The sequence below is a fragment of the Homo sapiens genome, chromosome 6, assembly GCF_000001405.40.
Source record: "Homo sapiens chromosome 6, GRCh38.p14 Primary Assembly".
In the NCBI taxonomy this organism is placed as follows: Eukaryota; Metazoa; Chordata; class Mammalia; order Primates; family Hominidae; genus Homo; species Homo sapiens.
The window spans coordinates 46,343,333-46,366,490 of NC_000006.12; the positions used below are offsets into that span (position 1 = coordinate 46,343,333).

The window sequence follows — 23,158 nt, forward strand, 5'->3', positions numbered from 1 at the left end:
TTCACGTGAGAATGTAAAATGGTATAGCCACTTGGGAAAACAATTTTTTTTTTTTTTTTTTGAGACAGAGTCTCGCTCTGTCGCCCAGGCTGGAGTGCAGTGGCGCAATCTCAGCTCACTGCAAGCTCCGCCTCCCGGGTTCATGCCATTCTCCTGCCTCAGCCTCCTGAGTAGCTGGGACTACAGGTGCCCGTCACCACGCCCAGCTAATTTTTTGTATTTTTAGTAGAGACGGGGTTTCACTGTGTTAGCCAGGATGATCTCGATCTCCTGACCTCGTGATCTGCCTGCCTCAGCCTCCCAAAGTGCTGGAATTACAGGCATGAGCCACCACACCTAGCCAGGAAAACAATTTGATAGTATCTTTAAAAGTTAAATATAAATTTAACATATGACCCAGGAATTCCACTATTAGGTATCTACTGAAGAAAAAACAAAGACATATGTTGATACAAAAGCTTGTTTTTAAATGTTTATAGCAGCATTATTATAATGGCCAAAAAATGAAAATAATATGAATGCTCTCCAACTGGTGAGCAGATAATCAAAATGCAGTTTATTCATCAATTAAAAGGAATAAACTACTGACATGCTACAACAAGAATGAACCTCAAGAATATTATGCTAAATTAAAAGAAGCAAGGCACCACATATTACATTATTCCATTCATATGAAATGTCCATAAAAGTAAAATAATGGTTGCCTGGAACTGGGAGTGAAAAAGAGAAAGAACTGCCTGCAAAAGGGCATGAGGAGTTTTTCTGGAAGATAGAACTATTCTAAAACTATTGTGATGATGGTTGTATAATTCTGTAAATTTGCTAGTAATCATTGAGTTATACACATAAAATGTGCGGATTTTATGATAGTTAATTTATGCCTCAATAAATTTATTAAACAATGTCAAGACAAAATGAAAATCATTTTCAACAGAAAAAAGAAAAACAGGCTCAGAGTATTTACCTACTGCACATCTGACCCTCTAGAAATGATTTTTTTCACAAAAAGTATTCTTTACTGAAGAGAATAATACCCAATGGGCACCAAGATTGGTAAGGAAGGGAAGAAGAGGACTGGAAGGCATAAATTTGTGGGTAAATAGACAAGACCTTCTTATTATATTTATTTTAAAAATTATTAAAAATACTATTGATTATTAAAAGCAAAAAAATGAATTATGAAGTTTACAGCATATGTAGAAATAAAATATATGACAAAACACAAATATTGAGGGGAGGTGGTTTGAATGGAATTATACTGTTGTGACATTCTTCCTTTGTGAAGTAATGTAATATTAGTTTAAGGCATACTATAATATGTTAAAGATGTGTACTGTAGTCTCTAGACTAGAGCAACCATTAAAAAATAACAAAAGGAGGGCTAGATGAAAAGTTCACAAGAGGGATCAAATGGAATACTAAAAAAAATGTGTTTACCCAAGAGAAGGCAGAAAAGGAACAACAAAGGAATATAGGCCAGATAGAACCAATAGAAAACAAATGCCAAGATGACAGATTAAACTCAATCACATTAATAATTATTTAAATGTAAATGAATTATAAACATTTTAATTAAAATGTGGAAATGAACAGACTAGATTAAAATAAAAAATCTCCCTTTTTCTCTCTTTATGTATATGCAAAACTATAATACTTTATAAATACATGTGATATCTATTTAAATATACATAAACATATTTTAAATCTAAAGACACAGACTGGTTGAAAGTAAAAATTAGAAAAATATAAACCTTACAAATAGTAAGCATAAGAAACAGTAGGTCTACATTATCAAAGTAGACTTCAAGACAAAAAGAATTATTAGAAATTAGGATGTAGATATTTTATAATTTTCATATCAAGAAAATGTAACAAACCTAGAAGTGAATGCACTTAATAACGAGTATTCAAAATACATGAAACAGAATTTGACAGAACTAAAGAGAAAAGTACAGATCTACAATCACTGTTGGATATTTTAACACCTTTCTCAGAAATTGATAGAAAAAAAATAAAAATCAGAAAAGATGAAGATTTGAACAACTCCGAAAACAAACTTGACCTAATTGATAATTATAGAACACGGTATCCAACAACTGCAGAACATACATTCTTTTCAGATGTACACAGGTGTATACAGAACATTTGCCATGGTAGACCACATGTTGGACTATAAAACGAGTCTCAGAAGATTGAAAAGGATCAAAAATAATGTAAATAAGCAGTTCTCGTCATATAATACAGGGAACACATGGGGGTTCCTGAAACCCTTTTAGGAAGTCCACAAGGTCAAAACTATTTTCAAAATAATGAGACATTATTTGCCTTTTTTACTCCCATTTTCTCATAGGTGTACAGTGGAATTGTCTACAGGCTGGATAACATGTGATGTCACAACAGATTTAATGAAGAAACAAATATAAAAATCAAGTTCTTTCCAAATTGAGCCAGACCTTAAAGACAAGTTGTGAAATCCGTGAAAATACAAATCAATGTTACTTTTTTCACTATTTTTTGTTCTGGAAAATATAGTTGTCTTTCATAATAATGTTATTTGTGTTAACATGCTCTTTTAAAGTAAATGAACAAATATTTATTTTAAAAACCTCTCAGTTGTAAATCCTAATATGGTAAATATAAATATAAACAAAAGCTCTTTGGAGTCTTCAATAATTTTTACTTGTGTAAAGATGGTAAGACCAAAAATTTGAATAACTGCTGATACAGAATATGCTTTCTGATCACAAAGGAATTAAATTAGAAATCAATTTGAAAATAAAAATATATTCCTCTGAATAACCCTTTGGTCAAAGAAGAAATCTAAAAGGAAATTTTAAAAATATTTTAAATCAAATTATAATGAAACAATATATCAAAATCTATGGCATACAGGTAAAGCAGTGCTCAGAGGGAAATTTATAGCTTCAAATCTCTATAGTGAAAAGGAAAAGAATGTAAAATCAATGAATTATGCAACAATTTTATAGACTCAGGAAACAAAGAAAGAAGGAGCACTTCCCAACTCATTTTATAAGGGCAGCATAATCCTGATGCCAAAATTTGATAAAAACATGCATCATCTTTTACTGGTAATATTATGCTTGGAAATCTCTTCAAATAAATCAATATCAGTATAAATATTTATGTGCAAGAATGATAATAGCAAAAATGCTAATAAAATATATGTCTAACCATTAGGAAATAACTAAATTATGAGAAATCTATGGGATGAGATATTATGCAACCATTAAAAGTAGGTTCTTAAAGGAATTAGTGTCATGGGAAAAGATACAAAGTTTAGTAAAATATTTATATAGTCAGATCCTGTTATATGTAACACACATACATATAAAAAGCCTGAAAAAATGCATCAAAATATTAATAGTACTTAACTCTGGATTGAAGCAATTACCAATAATTTCGGTTTTCTTCTTTTCTTTTGTATTTTCTAAATCATCTGCAATATAATTTTGTCCCTATAATAACAGTAGGGAGAAAAATCTAACCAGTTTTTAAATTTTTATTTATTTATTTATTTTAATTAATTTATTTATTTATTTTGAGAGGGAATCTCGCTCTGTCACCCAGGCTGGAGTGCAGTGGCGTGATCTCCGCTCACTGCAAGCTCCGCCTCCCAGGTTCATGCCATTCTCCTGCCTCAGCCTCCCGAGTAGCTGGGACTACAGGCACCCGCCACCACGCCTGGCTAATTTTTTGTATTTTTAGTAGAGATAGGGTTTCACCATGTTAGCCAGGATAGTCTCAATCACCTGACCTTGTGATCCACCTGCCTCGGCCTCCCAAAGTGCTGGGATTACAGGCATGATCCACCGCGCCTGGCCAACCAACCAGTTGTTTAGAGAAAAATTTGGATAATGCAACACCACAGTTTATACAATGATATTTCTCTGGAGAAGCTTTCAAATTAATCAGTCCTATGCCTGCATTTTATAGATAGGGAAATGGAGCTCTCCCTCCTGGGTGGACACATGTAATGTACATCAGGTCATGCATCAAGTTAGTGATAAAATGAAGTCTAGAACCTAGATCTTCCTCCTCCCAATACCATGCCCTTTACATTAGGACACAATGTGTAGAAAATGGCATTGGTGTTAGGTATAAGAAAATTCTTCAGATTTAATAACTACTCTCAGGGTTACACCTTACATTCAAGGGAAAAGTATTTAAAGGTATACTTAAAAATATAATCTTAATCTCAACCAAAATGTAAAAAGTATCTTATATGTATTTTATAAGGAGATAACATATTTCCTATCTTAGCTTTAATAATAGTTACCTTGTTTTTTAAAATATTCCAATTCACTAAAATCTCAAAACAACCCACTACAAGTAGAATTATCAACTACATAAAAATGTTTAATGATCTATCAAAGATTTCTGCCAAAACAGAAACAAAAACAAAAACAAACAAACAAACAAAAAACAGTCATTGTTCAAAGTGCTCAGGTTTCACCCAGGGGAAAGTTCAGCTTAAAGATTATTCTCACATCCGGTATTTGGGTTGACTCACTAAGAGATATCTGTTTAACAGAAACTTTTTCAGAGAGAACAAAAGCCATTTTTCTTTCTTGGCATAGTAATGAGTAAATCAAGCCTGTGTGAGAATAAATAAGTAAGACCTTTTATTGTTCAAAGTCTGGGGAGGACAGCGTGGCCGAGTACAGGACCTGAGCAGAATACTACATTGTGATTTAAATGGAAGCAGCCATCATTTCAATCATAAAGACTAGATTTCCATCGATGGCATATCTAGTAACCCAATTGAAATCATGTTTGTGTCTCTTTTTATGTTAAGGAAATTAAATAACCATTTTGTGGTGTGTCTAAGGTGAGTGAACTCAGATTCAATAGGCAATGAGAGGTTGCTTTTTAATTCTGCAAGTATTTAATAAACAAGAAAAATATCCACATTCAAGGGCAGTATTAGCATGTCAGATCACAACCTCTGTGATTTAATTATACATGTCCTCTGTTCTTAAAGAGTTGTAAAGGGAAATAAGAATCCTAGACAACAGCCAGCCGTCCGTCTGTGGTACTGAAAACATCTACAGAGCAATGGACTCTAGAACCCCTTTCTCTTCCAAGCACATTTTGAGGAGCTTCTGTACCTCACTGCTGACTCTAGGGCCCCACTCCCTGCCCAATCTTCCCATTCCCCAAGAGCTTCCTCCCCTTCCATTAGACCTTGGTGCTGGAGCCCTGATCATTCTGTCTATGGGAATCAGGGTTCAGGCTCAGGCTCCAATTTTGTTCCCACTGCTTGGTGAACTTTGTGAGTTGGTAAAAGTCATTTACTATATCTGGGTTCTAATTTCCTCCACTATTAGATGAAAGGATTGTGTCAGGAAAGAATGGTACCTCGGCATGTTATATTGAGAAAGATTCTAAGGCCATTTCCAGACCTCTCAGGGAAGGACAATCAGCAACGTCTGCCAGTGGCATGGAGGGGAGTGATGACAATGCACCTTGCAAGTTTAAAATGCATATTAAATGATGCCTCCGTAAGACATATTCCCCCAATTATTCCCCCTCTGCTTTTTCCATTACTGCAGATAATAGAGGACTCTTTATCCCATATCCCCAAATTGTCTGCCACCTACCATTAAGTATATCGATACTACATCTACATTACAAAGGCAAACATGAAGAACGCTATTTCATAATAGGACAGTTGAGTCAGAAAGTGAGCCATTTTTCCAAAACCATACAGCAAATTCAGAACAAATATTAAAATTTACGGACATTTACTTACTAATAAACATCTTATGCATTATAACTTACTTGTTTCACAGCTTTTATTGTGCATTTACTAGGTGTAAAGTACTATGAGTCACTAATAAGAGAAGGAAAAGATAAGAGGAAACCAGAATATCTAAGAATTCTGGGTCCTGAAGCAATTTTAAATCTAGAGGAGAGAAAGACATTCACAGATAACACAAGTAAAGAAACATCTGTCTCAGAAAACCACCGCATGTTCTCACTCTTAAGTGGGAGGTGAACAATGAGAACACATGGACACAGAGAGGGGAACAACACACACAATGGCCTGTTGCAGGAGTTGGGAGGGGCAAAGGGAGGGACAGTATTAGGAAAAATCGCTAATGCATTCAGGGTTTGAAACCTAAATGACAGGTTGATAGGTGCAGCAAACCACCATTCCACACGTATTTCTATGTAACAAACCTGCATGTTCTGCACATGTATCCCAGAACTTAAAGTAAAATTAGAAAAAAAAAAAAATCTGCCCTCAGGGAAAGGCAGAACTGTTCTACTCCGGAGTCTTCCTTTAATCTTCTCTTTTCACTCACTTACATCCAACCCATGTACAAATCTGTTGACTGAACCATCAAAGAAAATCTCAGATTCTGACCATTCTTACCTCTACCACTGTGGTTCAAACCATCATTTTCTCTCACCTGGACTAATGCCAGAGCCTCCTGACTGGTCTCCCAGCTTCTCTTCTAGTTCTAATACAGTCTAATTCCACACAGAAGCCAGGATGATCCACCTTTTCAAAAGCCAATCAATTCATATCATTCCCTGCTCTCACCCTCACCGTGGCTTCCTATTACACTGACAATAAGATTCAAAATGTTCACTCTGGTCTTTAAAAACCTACCTCATCTGTCCCTGGCCCCCACTTGACATCACTGGCCCACCTCTAACAACCTGCCTTATTTTTCTCAGTAGCATTTATTACCACCTATCACATCATAGTTTTATTTGTTTACTTTTTTAATTGGTTTTCTCTCTTCAAATGTAAGATCCACGAGGGCAGGAACAATGATGGTTACTGTCAGTGCAGCATCCCCAGCAACTACAAAAAATTATGGCTCAAAGCAGCTCCTCAATAAATATTTAATGCATGAATGGAGCAGGGGACAGCTAGAAATTGGAGTAAAAATCTCATATTGAACAACATCTAGGAATATTGTGTTGCAGTGTATATCCCTACTTCTAGACTCTTCCAGGGCAATGGTTGATGTTAAGAAGAATTTGCATGGTTTACGAGCAGGTGAGCAGGCTGGATAGAGGTGTCCAGAGAGTAGCTTAGATGGGGGCAGTGTTGCTTTATCACGAAGGCAGGTTCTCCTGGGTCAGGGGCAGGCAACCCCAATAACTGCATCATGGGAGGGAAGTGAGTGTCCTGGAGACAGAGCAATTGAGGAGAGTCACTTGGTATAAATCACATTATTTCTGGGCATTTGGCTCTATGTGCCGAGAATAGAAATGGTAAAACTGATCTGCTTCTTTACATGCTGAGGCAAGCTATGAGCTGAATAAAGCCACTGCAAAGGATATACAGGAGTCACTGCTGCTTAAGGAATTGACTTGAAACGGCTCTTGTTTCTACAATTAGAAAGTACTTTGAAATCAGCAGATGCTGCCTACCTTAATAGCTTGAGGAAGGATCCTATTTCCCTCAGAGTAAAATACTACCTGGTAGTTTTTATGTAGCAAGCACTATTCTAATCCCTTTACACTGCTAGTGAACAGTAGAACTGGGAGTCAAACCCCAAAAGTCTGGCCTGGAGCCCACCCACTTAACCGTGCCCCAAACTGCCTCTCATGAGAGTGCTGACTAACTTGACCTTGGGCTAGTCATCCTGTCTGTGTTTCTGTCTCCTCTGGATGATAATAGTATCACCTTCTTGGGTTGTTGGGAGGCTTAACAAATTAACATATAAAGTGACAAAAAAGGGTATATAGTCTAGCTATTATCATTATATCTATATGATCAATACCTTGCAGTGGCATTATTGGATAAAATGCAGAGGTCAAATAACTTTCCTAGAGTCACCAAGCTGGTAAATGAGGCCAGGATTTCAACCCAGCCATGTTTAGCCCCAAAGTTCATGTTCTTACACCTTTGCTAGCTATTGTCAAGTATTGACAGAATCCTTCCAGCATTTGACACTTCACAACCAAGGCTTCCTGTTCCCTTTTAGGCAATTCTTTGTGATATCTGAGTTTTAATTCAGCATATAAAACCTGTTAATGATCTAGCATCCTAGTCAAAATGTTTCCAGCCTGGAATTAATCTTGTTATGATGGACTGCTGAAACCTATAAGGATAGCTAGTGTGGATGTTTTATTTAGATTCTAATCTAGATTGTGTAGCAGGGATTTGAAGGAAGCCATGTCCTTGAAAATCTCTCACATACCAATGCTCCACACTCCAAGAAGCTTTATCTTCTAGCTGCAGCTCTCACAAGATACACAGGTGAGAAATTTAATAGCTCCTCTAGTAAACAGCACACATCATCAAACTGGCAAAATAGGCCAGCTCACAGACAGGAAAATAAGTGATTCAATGGATCCAGATAATAAATACCACTGGCAAGGATGGATGAACAAAACAAAATGCATCTGCATGCAGTCCTAGATGGTCCAGGAAGCTGATGGCACAGACTGGTTTTGTTTATTTTTATGACCATGGTGTGGCAGTTGGGAAGCGAGGAAATTGAGAGGAAGGTGACATTTTTCTGTGGCTCCCAGCCCTCTAGAATTCCCTTTTGTGTCCCCAGGAACTCAGTGTAGTTTACTTAGAGTGTTCTTTGATCTTTACCTCTTCCCTCTGTTCAATGCTTGCCTCTAGAAAAGGTCAGATACCTTCCATTAAGATGTAAATCAAAGACACGCACCTTTAAAATAATGTAACCTGTCTAAGAATATAGTTTGATTTCAACAGCCACCCACTACCCCCACAAACATAAGCCATGAACATAAGAGTATACATTAAGGTATTCCCCAGTGGGCTAAGGACATTCTAAGGAGGCCTCTCCTGGGATGTCTGAAATCATGATAATTAGTCAAGCACCTTCTCTGTTCACAGGAAAGGCTTAATCTGGTAATATCCAAAATATTGTTGTCTTAATCCAGTTGATCTACGATAATCAACATGTTCAAATGAATTTACTCAGGATGCTACAAATTCACAGCTAATTAAGTAAGAAAATAAAAAGATGGATCAATAAGTGTAGCAAAGAGGAGGAAATGATGATTTGTACCCAAATCTCTGAGAATGGTCCATTTCCCTCCATCCCACCCCGTCCTCCTTCCCCTCTGAGGACTGAGTTTTGGGGCCTGAGACCAGAGCAGGAAAGTTATATAATCAGAATCAGGAGGCTTCATCGGCCTCTCCCCTTGGCTGATGTACACGAGGTTCCATCACAGTCACTTCCAGGTCACCAGGAGCCTTGCTGGGCTCCTGTAAATGCCATTCCAGACCTGAACCTCTCCTCAAAATATTAGGTAGAAAGAATATTTTCAAAACTGACTGAAACATTCACTGTGCTCTAGAACTTTATGGAACTCATCTAAGTAAAATTCCCCTGGGAGACCCAGGATCCAGGCCAGAAACAGGAAGTTGTCAGGGGAACATGAGGACACTGAGTACCCTGGAGGAATCAGGGGAAAAAAAGGTCCTGTCACTGTAAAGGAAGAAGATACACAGATAAGGAGTCCAGGGAGGTCTCTGAAGACAAGAGTCAGCCATTTCTCATCTGAAACTGTAACCCACACGATGGGCAGGTTGGATGGCCTGGTGGGTGGCAGTCCAATGACCACAGACAAGGAGGATTTAACAAGATGATTTTATTACTTGCCAAGTGAGGAGGACACCAGGCATAGCTCCCAGGGCAGTGCTTCCCCAAATAAAGGTGAAACAGGGCTTTTATTGGGTTAGTTAGCTGAGTCATTCCATGTAGAGGTGGAGTAAAGGCAGTGCAGGCGCAGCTGCCAATCATGTGTCACATGTGTAGAAAATGGCAAATAAGCTCCTCCCTGGGTGGGTTTTTAGTATGGTAATGAGGGGAGTTTGCCAAAGTTCATCTCCAGCTCAGGCATCTCTGGATCCAACCAGTTTTTGTTTTTCTGGGCCTGAGCTTCTTCCTGGTAGTTTTTGAGACAAGCACTCAAGGTACAACAATTGCAAATGGGTACTTTCTCATCGTGTACCTGAAAACCCAGGGACAATGGGTTTTGCTTTTTGGGTGTGGGGGAGGAGAGAATTTGAAAGAACTTGAGATACCAGTATCTAGAGACAGTGCAGGTGCAGGTGGGAGCAACTGGAATCTGACAGATCCTGCACAGACAATCCTTAGTAAATAAATTCCAAAAGTATCTTGATGAAAATTTTATCCCAGATAAGAAGAAATCTACTCTTTGTGTAAGATGGGGGTTAAGTTCTTGTACCCTGACTTAAGTTCAGCTTGGGGCTTGTTATGGTTACAAATGTCCCTATTTAACCTTGCAGTTAATACCGGAGAGTAGACGCTAGGATGAGATGTGAGGGTTATTCATTACTCCCACTGCTTCACTGATTAATACCTATTTCAACTCTTTTTAAAGAGGAAAAAGTATGGAAACTTGCCCAGGACAGTGTTTAATTTCCCAGGCGGCAGAGAAGGAAACACTGATTTATTTACAGAGAACAGCAGTTGCTTACATGCATTTGGAGCATGATAAATGGCAATTTTATAAACATAATTATGCATGCAAGAAGTATCTTACCATGTTATCAGGCTTTAAGACCTAAATTGCATGCATAAATGACATTTTAAAACCCATGGATTTTTCTTCTCATTACTAATATGGACTTTAATTCTGGGAGTCATAAGCCCTGGTTTACTTTCTCGGGTATGGCAGACATCTTTTGTTTGACATGGGATACAAACCAGAATATATTTTGTACAATTTTGAAGTACAGTTTTCCAGGAGTTAAGTTTCCTTTTAAATGTCAGTCACTTTAATCCTGCAATGTTATTAAAAGTCTCAAGTTTTCAGGATGCCTATGCATGATGTGGTCTGCACTTGCACACATGTACATGTGTATGGTGTGTTATTTTACTGTGTGTGTGTGTGTGTGTGTGTGTGTGTGTGTGTGTGTGTGTGTGTGTGTAGAATCCCTGACTCATGGTTAGAAGAAACCCTAAACAGCACTTTCGGCAGAAGTTTTCAACTCTGACTATTTAGTAGAATCACCTGGGGAGCTGTGACGTGTCCTGACACTCAAACTAGTGAAATCTAAATAAGTTCTGTGGTCTTCTATTTAACACAATTATTCCCATGTCAGTTTCTTGACTCTGATGCTGGACTGGAGTTATGAGAGATGTTACCACTGGAGAAAGCTGAATGGAGGGTACAAGGAACCTCTCTGTATTGCCTTTGCAACTTCCTGAGTCTGTAATTATTTCAAAATGAGAAGTTAAAAAAATATTGATGCACAGATCATACTCTGGACCAATTAAGTCAGAATCTCTAGAAGTAGGATGCCAGAATCAGTCTCTTTTAAAGCTCCCAGGTGATAGCAAAGTGAGGCCAATGTAGTCACTGATCTTGCCACCCAATGTTTAAGTGCTTTAAAATCTCACAACGTTGTCCAACTAGCACCCAATGTTTAAATGTTTTACAATCTTCTCACAGATGGCTTGCCATGTTAATGGCAATAAAGCACATTTCAATTATTGAACAAAATATTTATTATGAGCTTTCTAATCTTCTAGAAAACCTGCAGAGACTTCTCAGGAAAAAGATTATATATGTGTGTGTGTGTGTGTGTGTGTGTGTGTGTGTGTGTGTGTGTGTGTGTTAGGCAGAATGCCACATTAAATTTGTAAATAATTCCTAGGTTGTATTGGAATGGACATTAGCTAACCCTAAGAATTTCCTAGCAATTGTTCATAGTAGTGGAAATACAACAAGCTATGGCATAAAGCCTTCATCAATCACTCAACCTGTTCATACTTGTGACTGGTAGAACTGGCATGGTAATATAATTACTGTCTTTTTAATACCCCCCAAATATGTATACTAATCATTATGAATGAATTTTTAAAGTAAACTTCTTATAATGAAAAGGGCTAGAAAACTAGCTATTTTGGATCACAGGCCACTTTGTGAACATGATGGAAACTATGGAGTCTCTTCCCCCATAGGAAGATGCAGAAACAAGTGGCTCATGGATCACTAGTAAGTTCTAGAAGCCCCTTAATAGGGGCTCCAGTGTTTATCAGAAGCCACTCTGAACAGGAGGCTGGGAATGAGGCTCCAGCTCGACTGGTCAAGGAAGCCTGCCACCTGGGCTAGTGTCTTCCAGTGCCAGCCCTTGACATCTTCTTCTATAAGTTAAGATGTTTGTGATAATGTCTATGTCCGTTCTCCCTCTAGGAGGTCATGTTTAAACCCAGACCCACTCAGCTCAGACCCTACAGCTTAAAATGCTTTGAAAAACACTGATGCTCCAACTAGGCAATATATCACCCAAATCTCAGTGTCACAAAGTGGCCAGTCTTTAATGGAACTTTGGGAAATCTTCAGTTTTGTTATTTCCATTGTTTGCTGGGTTACCTAAGAAACTAGCCAGTTTCAAGAGTGCCAAAGAAGGCAGAGAATGAAATGGTGTAGAACAAAAACTTGTGACTCAGATAAAGTTTGGTCTTATCTCCTGAGGTAGATCCACCCTAAGAAAGTCCTCTGGTTAAACTGCTTGAAAATCGAAGTGAGGAAATAATGGGGATATTTCCAGGCCTGGCCTGTGTGGCTAAGGAACCTCATGCTGCTCCACTTGGGCTGGCTGATGCCTTCTCTACTAACCCAGCTGGCTGGAGCACCCCATCCTGCTGCCTCCGAAGGGCTTGCTCAGCAAGGGGGAGGATACAGAGTGACTTTAGAGCATCTGTTTGTAAAGACACAGACACAGACACAGACATGAGCCCTCCTAAGGACAAGAAAAGACTCATGTGGTGAACTTACTTTACAAGGTGCTTATGGAAACAGGGCCAGTAAATTGGAGACCAACTGAAGAAGTGGAACGCCTGGAAAAGAGGGAACAGTCTATAGGCTCCTATTCACAAACCTGCCCGGATCAGTAAGCTGAACTGACACATATCAAAGGCCAGGGCTTGATTCGAATTCCTTCTCTGATATTCATGGACAAGTCTGGGGTCAGTGATGGGCCTCTCTTGATACCTGCTCTTTGTGGGGAGCTCTGTGCCCTCCCTCAAGCCCAGTGAAAACTTAGAAAGTGATGTTTAAACCCTCTGAGCTACCCTCTGAGATTTGGACTTATTGGTCTGGAGGGAAACCTGGAGGGTGGCATTTTTTTTTCCTACGTGTCCTCAAATGATTCTAATGTGCATCCAAGGCTGAGAACCTCTTTTTCAGCCAATTAGAAACCTCCTGGGGGAAATCACTCCTTTCAGATATGGATGCAACTGGTGTGGTCAGGGCAGAGGCTTGGATGGATGTGAACGTGCACAGGTTCGTGCCTCAGGTGGGCTGGAAAAGCCCTGTAAGGGAGGTGCTGTGATGCCCAATTTCATTGATGAGAAATGGGAGGCTCAGAGAACGAAGGAAACTTGCCAAAGGTCAAAGAATGAGGAAGTGGGAGAAATGAGAGTCTAACTCAGGGCCTGTATGCAATGAACACTTACGGAGGAACACAGATATTGCTTCTTCAGATCAGTCAACTGCCCTGTCAGATGAACATTATATTATACCCATTCTACCAAATAAGAAAAGCGAAGTTCCAAGGGGGCTAAAGGACCTATCAAGTTCAACAGGTGGATCATTAAGTAGAGAGAATATTCTGGTCTTCCCAATATTTACTTTCTGAAGCCAGTCTTTACCCATTCAGTTCTTGTAATTCTGTTGGGGTAAATTTGACCCTCTCCAGCTGTGCAGACTGCCATTGCCAGGTATTTGGGTATCTCAGGATTAAGGAATTTTTAGTGGAGCAGGCTGCCATATCAGGCTGCCTCTGCCAAGACATAAGGGCCCAGCTGGCCACAGGCTGAAGATGGGGTAGAAAAATTTGTCCCTCAGTTCTGTGCAAACCAGAATGGTTGGCCATCCTAGCTGAAGATAAACTTCAGGGCAACTAAATGAAATTCAGATGGCTAAATATGGAGTTTCTCACTAAAACAGACAGTAATCAGACCCGATAGAAGTGTCCATTTCTGCTTATGCCATTAAAATTCAAATGGAAATTTGGAGATGATTCAAAAAAAGAGTCACTAAGATCATTCATGAAATGAAAATCAGGTCTTAGATATGGGTAAGTTATTAGTAACAGTTAATAATTTTAATGTATGTTTCTTGTTTTGTTTTTAATGAAGAGTCTACTGGTCAGTTGTTTTCCTTATGTTTGGAGAAGATGATAAAAGGAAATGTGCAATGGTAATAAGACATCAAACATTTATATATTGCTTATTGCATGTCAGGCACTGAGTGCTTTAAAACCCATATATACTCTCCATTATTCTCAATAACTTTATGATGGAGGTCCTAGTGTTCCTGTTTTAGAGATAGAGGAGCAGAAGCTCAGCAGGGTTGACACAGTCAAGGTCACACAGCTAGTACATGTTGAAGCTGGGATGCTTTTAGTTGTTCATAATAACTTATTAACTAGGGTACTAACACTCTAGCAGGAGTTGGCAAGGAGAATTGAAAATTGCTTGGGAAATGCAGACAATATAAAGAAGCAGCTAGGGCAAGGAAACATTAATTTAAAGTACTTTCGCTTTCACCTTGTCCAGGGCAGGAAGAAATTTAGGTGAAGTCTCTTCCAGCTTCCAGACGAGGTATTATCTTTCCTTTCCCTCACCAGAGGATACACTGGCTTAATGTGAATTGGAAAAATCTATCCGGTCACCTCAGAACTAATTTTTGTATAAAATCTTTAGTTTATTTTTGCAACATGCAAATTAGAGGTACAGACGGAAAATTCAATAACGTTATAATCCCGGTGACGCCCTAGGTCTAGAATGACATTTATCTAAGCAAAAGCACTTCTGTGGTCCTAGGAAAGATGGTTGTGGCATTTTAAAGCAGAATTAGACCCTGCTGCAGAAATCCTTTCTCCTACTTTTGTAAATCCCATGGAGTAAAACAGAATTTATCAAATCAATGAAAAATACACTCCAGTAATGATCATGCTGGAGGCCTCCTGCTCACTATCATGAGCACACTTCCCCAGGGCTTCCCTGGGACAGCTTGCTCAGAGCAGGGACAGTGGCAGGGGAGGGGAAGACACCAGGCCCCCAGATATCTCCAAAGGTGGTGGAAGGGCCTGAGAGTCTCCCATCCCTACTCTTATTTAAAATGTCCTCAGTTAAAATATGAATGCCCAGGAGGAGGGGGAACATCAGCAGGAACTAAGCCCTGATCATGGGCTTTTGGGGAAGAATTTTCCATGTTTCTTCATCTATAAAGTGAGAGCGCTACACTTGATGAGTGACTCTCAACCTCCCCATGTATCAGGGAAGAGGACTTTTGACAACTTACAGATGCTCAGGCCCCATGAGATTTAGTTTCAATTGGTCTGAGATAGGAGAGGTAGGTATTGTTAGAGTTTGCAGGTGATTTAAATATGCTGCTAGGGCTGGTCTTGATCAGTGGTCCTCAGCTCTGGCTGTACTTTAGAATCACCTGGGAGATAAGAAAAATCCCAATGCCCAGGCTACACCCTGGGCCAATTAAATTCTAACATCCAGGGTTGGGACCTAAGCATTGGTGTCGTTTAAAGCTGCCAGGTGATTCCAATATGCAGCCAGGGTGGAGAACCACTAAACTAGGTGACGTCTGGGGGACTATTACAGCTAGAAAATCCTGCTGTGTTTAGAGTCCCACAGTTTATTCCATTCTATAGTTAGTTCTCATGTAGTTAGTTCCCAAACTTGAGCACATCAGAATTAAAACACAAACTTCTGGGCCTCACCTGTGGAGGTTCTGAATCATCGGATCTAGTGTAAGGCATAAGAATTTGCATTTCTAACAAGTTCCCAGCTGGTGCTGTTGCTGGTCCTGAAATCACATTTTGAAAACCACTGCTCTAAGGCGTAACAGGTGCCCAACCTTGACACTGGAAAGTACAGAGCTCAGAACAAGTGACTTTTGTTGGAAAAGAAAAATCACATGGAGAAAAATAGTAGCACAGGGCTGTAATTATCAGCCCCACAGCTTTTCGACAGTTCCGGTGTGATACAGAGACAGGGACTGGGCTCTAAAACGCAAAGAAGATGGCCTGAGAAGTGAGAAGACAGCAAAGATGTACTTCATCTATGTCAACATTCGGCCTAGAGTCTAAAGATATTTGTCAGTCAAATTGTAGGAAAGCAGAAATATTGGAGCACATGCTAATTCCAACACTAATTTCATTCTAATTCTATCAGAATCCTCCAGTGTAGTTAATCAAAATCTTTCAACTGTTTATATTTTATGAATTTGGTTATGTATCATTTTTCTGGGCCTATATATTTAGATACATTCAAGACATGTCTGAATATATAAAACAGTGCATAATCATGCTCTGAATGATTTGGGATGCTGAAAAGACAACCATTAAGAACGAGGAAGAAGCATATAGTAGGGACTGAATGAGTAAACGAATATTAACATGTATTAAGCATCAGCTATCAATGAATATATCCTGTTTGTGTGATCATATCTCGTTTAATTTTCACCAAAAAAAAAGTTTGATAAGTCACAATATACAGATGCTAGAACCAAAGTTCAGAGATCACAAATCTTTTGTTTCCAGACCTAAAGGAACAAGACCCAAGATTTGAATCTAGGTGTGTCTAACTTCAAAGCCCAGGTGCTTTCCACCACCATATCTCTTGTCCTTCACTTGACACAAATCCTGTCTTTTTGTTCTAACTACTAATAGGCTCTGAAAAATTCCTAGCCTTCCTAAACCTAGTGTTTCTCAAACTTTAATGTGATGAGATCCCCCAGGGGATCTTGTTAAAATGAAAATTCTAGGGTGGGGCATATGATTCTGCATTTCAAACCAACTATGCAGTTGCTGCTGGTTATGCAGATGCTGCTGGTCCATGAACCACGTTCTATACCAAGGTCTTAAGAGACCTGGGTTTAAAGAGAGCTTGATGTAGGCCGGGCGCTGTGGCTCAAGCCTGTAATTCCAGCACTTTGGGAGGCCGAGGTGGGCGGATCATGAGGTCAGGAGGTGGAGACCATGCTGGCTAACATGGTGAAATCCCATCTCTACTAAAAATACAAAAAAAATTAGCGGGGCGTGGTGGTGGGCACCTGTAGTCCCAGCTCCTCCGGAGGCTGAGGCAGGAGAATGGTGTGAACCCGGGAGGCGGAGCTTGCAGTCAGCCGAGATCGTGCCACTACACTCCAGCCTGGGCGACAGAGCAAGACTCCGTCTCAAAAAAAAAAAAAAAAAAAAAAAAAAAGAGGGCTTGATGTAGATAAGAGAGGGAGACAAAAAATCTTACTGAGAAACTATTTTGAAGAAATCATCACTGTTTTAAGAAACTGAGGATAAAAGACAGCAGAGGCTGGACTTATAAGGTACAAAAACAAGTGGATACGTTCTGCTTTTAAGTGGTCAATCAACAATTTGTTTGGTACCAAATAGCCAAATGAACACAAATCTGTATTGGTTCTATCTAATGAGCTTTCATTTGCTATAGTGGGAAGTAATCTAGAAATGTGACTTACTTGTTGATAATGGAGAGAAGGGTGAACTCTTAAATGCAGTTCTAATGTATGTTTTTAAAATGATCATGAATTTTGTACAATGGAGGTTGAATAGTGAAGGTATAATAACAGGCCTTCTCCCTACCCCCATGTATGTGTAAAACTTGAGTATTCAGAAAAACCATTCAATTAATCACAGCAATAGTGTTTTATGTCTAAACATCTGGATGCTCCTTAAATCACAAAGTGGTTTAAGGCTAGATCTTGTTTCAAACAAATTTCTGAACACCTCTGTGCTTCCAGAATTTCCATATGGATTGCAGCCTTGACATGGAAAAGTGAAAATCAATTTGGATGCACAGCAGGCCCAGAGCATAAGAAGTGACATGGAGAACTCTATCCTGGGGGAAGGGTGAGAGAAAGGAGAGTCTGCATGTAATGAGACCAGAAATCAAAGGGGGAATGAATGAGCTGAAACCTCTGTGCACAAGAAGCCCAGCAGAGTAGCTAAAGATGGAGGAATCTGTAGTCACCTTTGACTCCCAGGCCACACTGGGCTTCCATAATGCCACAACTCCAGGGGAAAGGTAAAACATTCACCCCTCCAACTGCTTTTTGTTTTCAGAAAGAAAAAAAGAACTAGTTTGACTATTGTTATTATCTAAAACAACAGATTGGACAACCTATTTAAAAGTATGTTGATGCTGCATTGGGCTCTTGACTTAACCAAGGGAACCTGAAAATACGTCTAGATTGCAGTGAAACAAAATGGCATATCTTCTTAATGAAAATGACTTCGTTTAAAGTTTGTTAAATAAACACTTTTTATAGCATACTTTATTTAAGAACTAGGTGCCAATTTTTCATGGGGTGAAGTGATACCTAGATTTATTGATATTGGATTAGTTTGAATTTTCTTGACCTCTTACCTTGATGGTAGGAGAGGTTGTTTGCTATTATGGAGTCACTGCTCCTAAAGGTTTTATTTTAGAGATTAAAAAGATTTGAGATATTGTTGATACCTAAAGAGGAGTTTGCAGTTAATCCCATGGTCATTTATCTTTAGCTGGATAAAATCCTGAGAATTTATATATTTTTATCTGAACTTTTCAAACATCTATCATCATGGTTTGGAGAATTTCAGCAGAGAAAGTTTTAAGAGACAGAGAAAAACATCAATAAGCAAGGAATTTGAAACTTAAATCTTTATTCAAGTCTTGGAATTTGAAATTCAAAGTTTCATTTCACAAACTGACTTTGATAAATTCATATAAACTAGTGTGTTTAGAAGGATTCTGAGGTCTAGAATAAAACAAGATCATGATTGGGAAGACCCAACTTAGGGTAGTCACGATATACATGCTATAGATGTGTCACCCCACTTCTGGAACCTAAGTGACTAATGACTTTATATTTAAGTAGGGAAAAAAATATCGTCTTTTTCTTTTTCCCACTCAAGGGGAGTGAATTCAAACAGTTTGGATGTCGTTTAAGAGAAATGAATGAATCAGCTAGAATTTTCTGCAAATTGTAGATGCTGTAAGATTATAAGGTAATATGAGGTATTGGAGGTATAATATAAGGATATAACATATTATATATTGGTATATATAATATAAGGTATTATAAGGTAATCTACACATTCCCTATAAGAAAATGTTAGTCAATGGGATGACAAACCAAACAAATCCTCAAGGGGTGGCAACCTTATATCTTCACAAACTCATTATACAGAAAGTTGATCATTTCTTTTATTAGAGCCTGCATTACACTACAAAACTGATTCTGTCATGGTTCTGTATTCCCATTTTATAGTTTTTCCTTCTTTAACTGTAACTTGGTTTCCAGAGGGAAAGTCCAAATAACCTAAGGAAAGTCAGGATGATGACACATGGACCCAGCCGATATTTTCTTAATGATCACAGAGAGAAGACAAGTTACTTTGCAGCAATTCCTTCATATGCATTTTCATTGTTGATGGAAAAATACATATTTTCAAATGTATCCAGGCATCCTAGGCTCCTGCATACCCATGGAAAACCCAGTGAAACCTGCTTTAGCTCATTCCTCTTATCAGGGGATGAAGCATTAATGATATGCAGATTTTGAACTACCGTTTATTATACCTGGTACCTGTATTGTGCAGAAATTATTAAAATTAACTTTTTAAATTGGACTTTTTAACAGGAAGTTGGACTCCTACTTAGTGGCATGCACTAAGAATTATGCCTTTTGAAATAAGAATTATGCCTTTTGAAATAATAGAATAATTAAATCTTCAGAAAAAGAAATCCAGAAGCATAAAGTGGGAATAAGTAGGAAACTCAAACTGCTGTGCAAGCCATCACCTTTTCTGGTGCAGAAATGAATAATTCATCATTTAATTTCAAAGAGTATTGAAGAACACTACATGTCTGATTGGGCTGTTTCATTTGGCTTTCTTGTCTTGTGTGTATCATGATTACATTTCTAGGTTTCTCATATGTGCATAGTATAATTTAGCTGAGCACCAAGCTGGAGGACAATGTATGATACTTGAGCCACCTGGTATCTTTGGGGACTTTGGAAAGAGACATCATTTCTAATCTTCAAATTTTCAATTAAATAAATTTCACTTTAAAAATGTATTTTTTTTCTTACAAAAAAAGAGAAAAGCTAAACCAGGCTCACAGCAAGAAACTAGGGTAGTAAATAACAGTAAGTAGGAAAGAAAAAATTCTAAAGACATGAATAGGAATTTAGCTGAAAAGATGAGCATGACTTATAATTTATTATTTATAACCTGTTCTTAATTATGAAAGCATCTAGGAGCTCAGCCCTGAAACAAAAGAAATGAAATGAATTACTTAGCACAGCAGAAAAATTACTGTATTTAATTTTGGCATTCGTTTCTTATCGTTGGGGATTACCTCTATCATTTAGTTTATAGAGGTATAACTATAAAGTATGACTGAAAGGTGATAATTTTTAAAAAGTAAAATAATGATTCTCATGCAAATAAAAAAAATGCTAGGCTTTATTCAACTCATTAATTAATAAGGCAACCAGTAAGATGTTAAAGCCAGGTTAAAGGAGAATCCAAAGAGCATACATATATATAAGCCATTAGGAATACTGAAATAAATTTGGTTAATGCATGCAAAACTTGCTTCTTCCATAGTAGGGTAGGAATACAAATTGAATTTGCACCAGAAAAAAATTCACTGAATCTTAAATCGCTCAAAGACGATGAAAAACCTAGAGACCCTATCTGTTTCTACAGATGACCTGAAAGGGTGTGTTCCACAACCCCAGTGTTCACTAAGACACCCAATCATCATTTTGGCTCATTTCAAAGTGCTTCCCAATTCTTCCGTGCAATATATAGAGTTGTCCCATAAATCTCTTTATGTTGGCTAACCTTTAGAGAGAACTAAATAAAGGGGTGGGGAACAAAGGTATGACATGGGAAAGCAGATCACATTTTCAATTTACATTCAAAATGTAAATTTCCTCCTTGGTTTTATTGTGATGGTAGATAAAAACCCAGACTTGGCTTGGCCCTTTCAATATCACTTCCAAAAGTACACTGATCAGAAAAGGGAAAAGGCTTGGAAAGGCAAGCTGATTATTAAAATTATTAGGCAGGGTTATCAGTAAGTTGCATAATCTGACATATCTCCAAGTTCTCCAATACTACCTAGCCTGTGGGTAACTGAGTAACCCACACTCCACAGACTCTTGTTTCCATGTGCTTACGCGGAGACTGAGCTGCCTGCTTAGCCTCACACAGCTTGGCCTGAGACCCTAGGGGTCGTCTCACAAATTCATCATTTAGTCTTTGCAACATCATGCATGCTATGTGCTTTCTCTTTTCCTCTCATCCACCTGGAGGATGCTGACTGTTGGTGCCCACCCTGAAAGTTCTGGTACCCCAGCAAAGGGTGCTATCACCAACTGCTCCCCAAACTGCTAACCTTCAGAGGAAAGGAAGGCCCCACATTCCCTGGAGTCCTTGGCATGCCAAGGTTCCTGGAAGAAATGCCCTTGTCTCCTAACATTCTCCCTCTCGCTCACTTTGCACCAGCCACACTGGCTTCTTTGCTGTCCTTTGAACCAGCCAGGTACTCACCAGCCTGTTCCCTCTACCTGGAATGCTCTTTCTCCAAGTACCAACATAAATGGCTCCCTTTATCTCAAGTCTTTACTCAACTATCACCTTCATGAAGACTTCCCTGGCTACCCTTCCTAAAACTGCAGCCCTAATCGCACTTTGATACTTCCTATCCCTCTGCCCAGCTTATTTTTCCCCAATGTAATAATAATATAAAGTACATGATAAATGTAATGCACTTGAATTATCCCAAAACCATCCCCCTCACCCCATCTGTAGAAAAATTGTCTTCTAGCTAGGCACGGTGGCTCACACCTATAATCCCAGCACTTTGGGAGGTCAAGGCGGGTGGATCACCTGAGGTCAGGAGTTTGAGACCAGCCTGGCCAACATGGTGAAACCCTGTCTCTACTAAAAATACAACAATTAGCTGGGCGTGGTGGTGGGCACCTGTAACCCCAGCTACTCGGGAGGCTGAGGTGAGAGAATCGCTTGAATCTGGGAGGTGGAGTTTGCGGTGAGCCGAGATCATGCCATTGCACACTAGCCTGGGCAACAAGAGCGAAACTCCATCTCAAAAAAGAAAAGAAAAGAAAAGAAAAGAAAAAGAAAAAGAAAAAAAGAAAAAAAAGAGAAATTGTCTTCCACAAAACCAGTCCCTGGTGCCAAAAAGTTTGGAGACGGCTGCTATAAGGTATATGACAAAATATTGCTATCCTTCAACAGGAAATTGTCAATTTCTTCTAATGATCTATTTCCTTATCTAAGCATTTAAGATCTCATTTTATAGTCTCAAATTTTATACTTAAAGCTCAACATATTTGATAATTCCTCATTTCCCCTCTTTTATTGTAAATCATCAGGTATCTTGCTCTTAGCTAGTTATTTGATGAGCAAACAATTAATTGACTATAGTTTAGGAATTCCATAGGACAGGCTATATATAACGCATCTTAAATAATAATGGCTAACATTATTGGTGACTTTCTTTGTGTTGGGCATTATGCTAGCTAGGTGCTCTACTTGCATTATTTGGCTTAATCTTCAGAACAACTGACCCAGGTAGGTACTATTACTGTCCCCAGTTTATGGATGAGGAAATGAGGTGCAGGGAGGCTTAAGTAAGTTGCTCAAGATTATACAGCTAGAATGTGTGAGGCCAGGATTTGAATTCAAGTTGCTTGATTCAAGGTCTGGGATTGTAACTACTATTTCCTACAGCCAAAGCAATCACCCAGAACCAATACAGCGTGGTTACTTCTCAATTTGTACCTTTGACTACTACCCTAAGAAGCCCACTTTCCTTTCTTGCTTTCTTCCTCTTTCATTCCCAACTCGAAATAAATCCCACTTTCATGTACTCTGAACTTGGTGAAGTGCAAGACCTTTTCAAATGTCTCCCCAGGCAAAAATTCTAAACTCAGGTTGCCTGAAGTATCCAGGCATCTTCCTGACACTGTAAGAAGAGGCCATTTCTCTGAGGCCCCTCCAGGCAAAAATTCCAAAGATCACTGGCCATACTCTAACTCTCACTTTTCCATTCAGTTCCTTATTTCCAGTGACAAGGATTCTCTCCTTGTCCAAACTCTA

General features: G+C 38.7%; 1 protein-coding gene and 1 long non-coding RNA gene across 5 annotated transcripts in view; one reads left to right on the plus strand and one right to left on the minus strand.

Moving 5' to 3' along the window:
• LOC101926915 (uncharacterized) overlaps nt 1–22,176 on the plus strand; it is an 89,185-nt gene extending 67,009 nt beyond the window's left edge. The window contains exons 3-4 of the long non-coding RNA NR_125838.1: nt 17,779–18,062; nt 18,935–22,176. This is a non-coding gene — a long non-coding RNA (uncharacterized LOC101926915). The remainder of the gene's footprint in view (nt 1–17,778; nt 18,063–18,934) is intronic.
• Nucleotides 1–23,158, minus strand: part of RCAN2 (regulator of calcineurin 2) — a 271,235-nt gene that overhangs the window by 122,597 nt on the left and 125,480 nt on the right. The window lies entirely within an intron of this gene.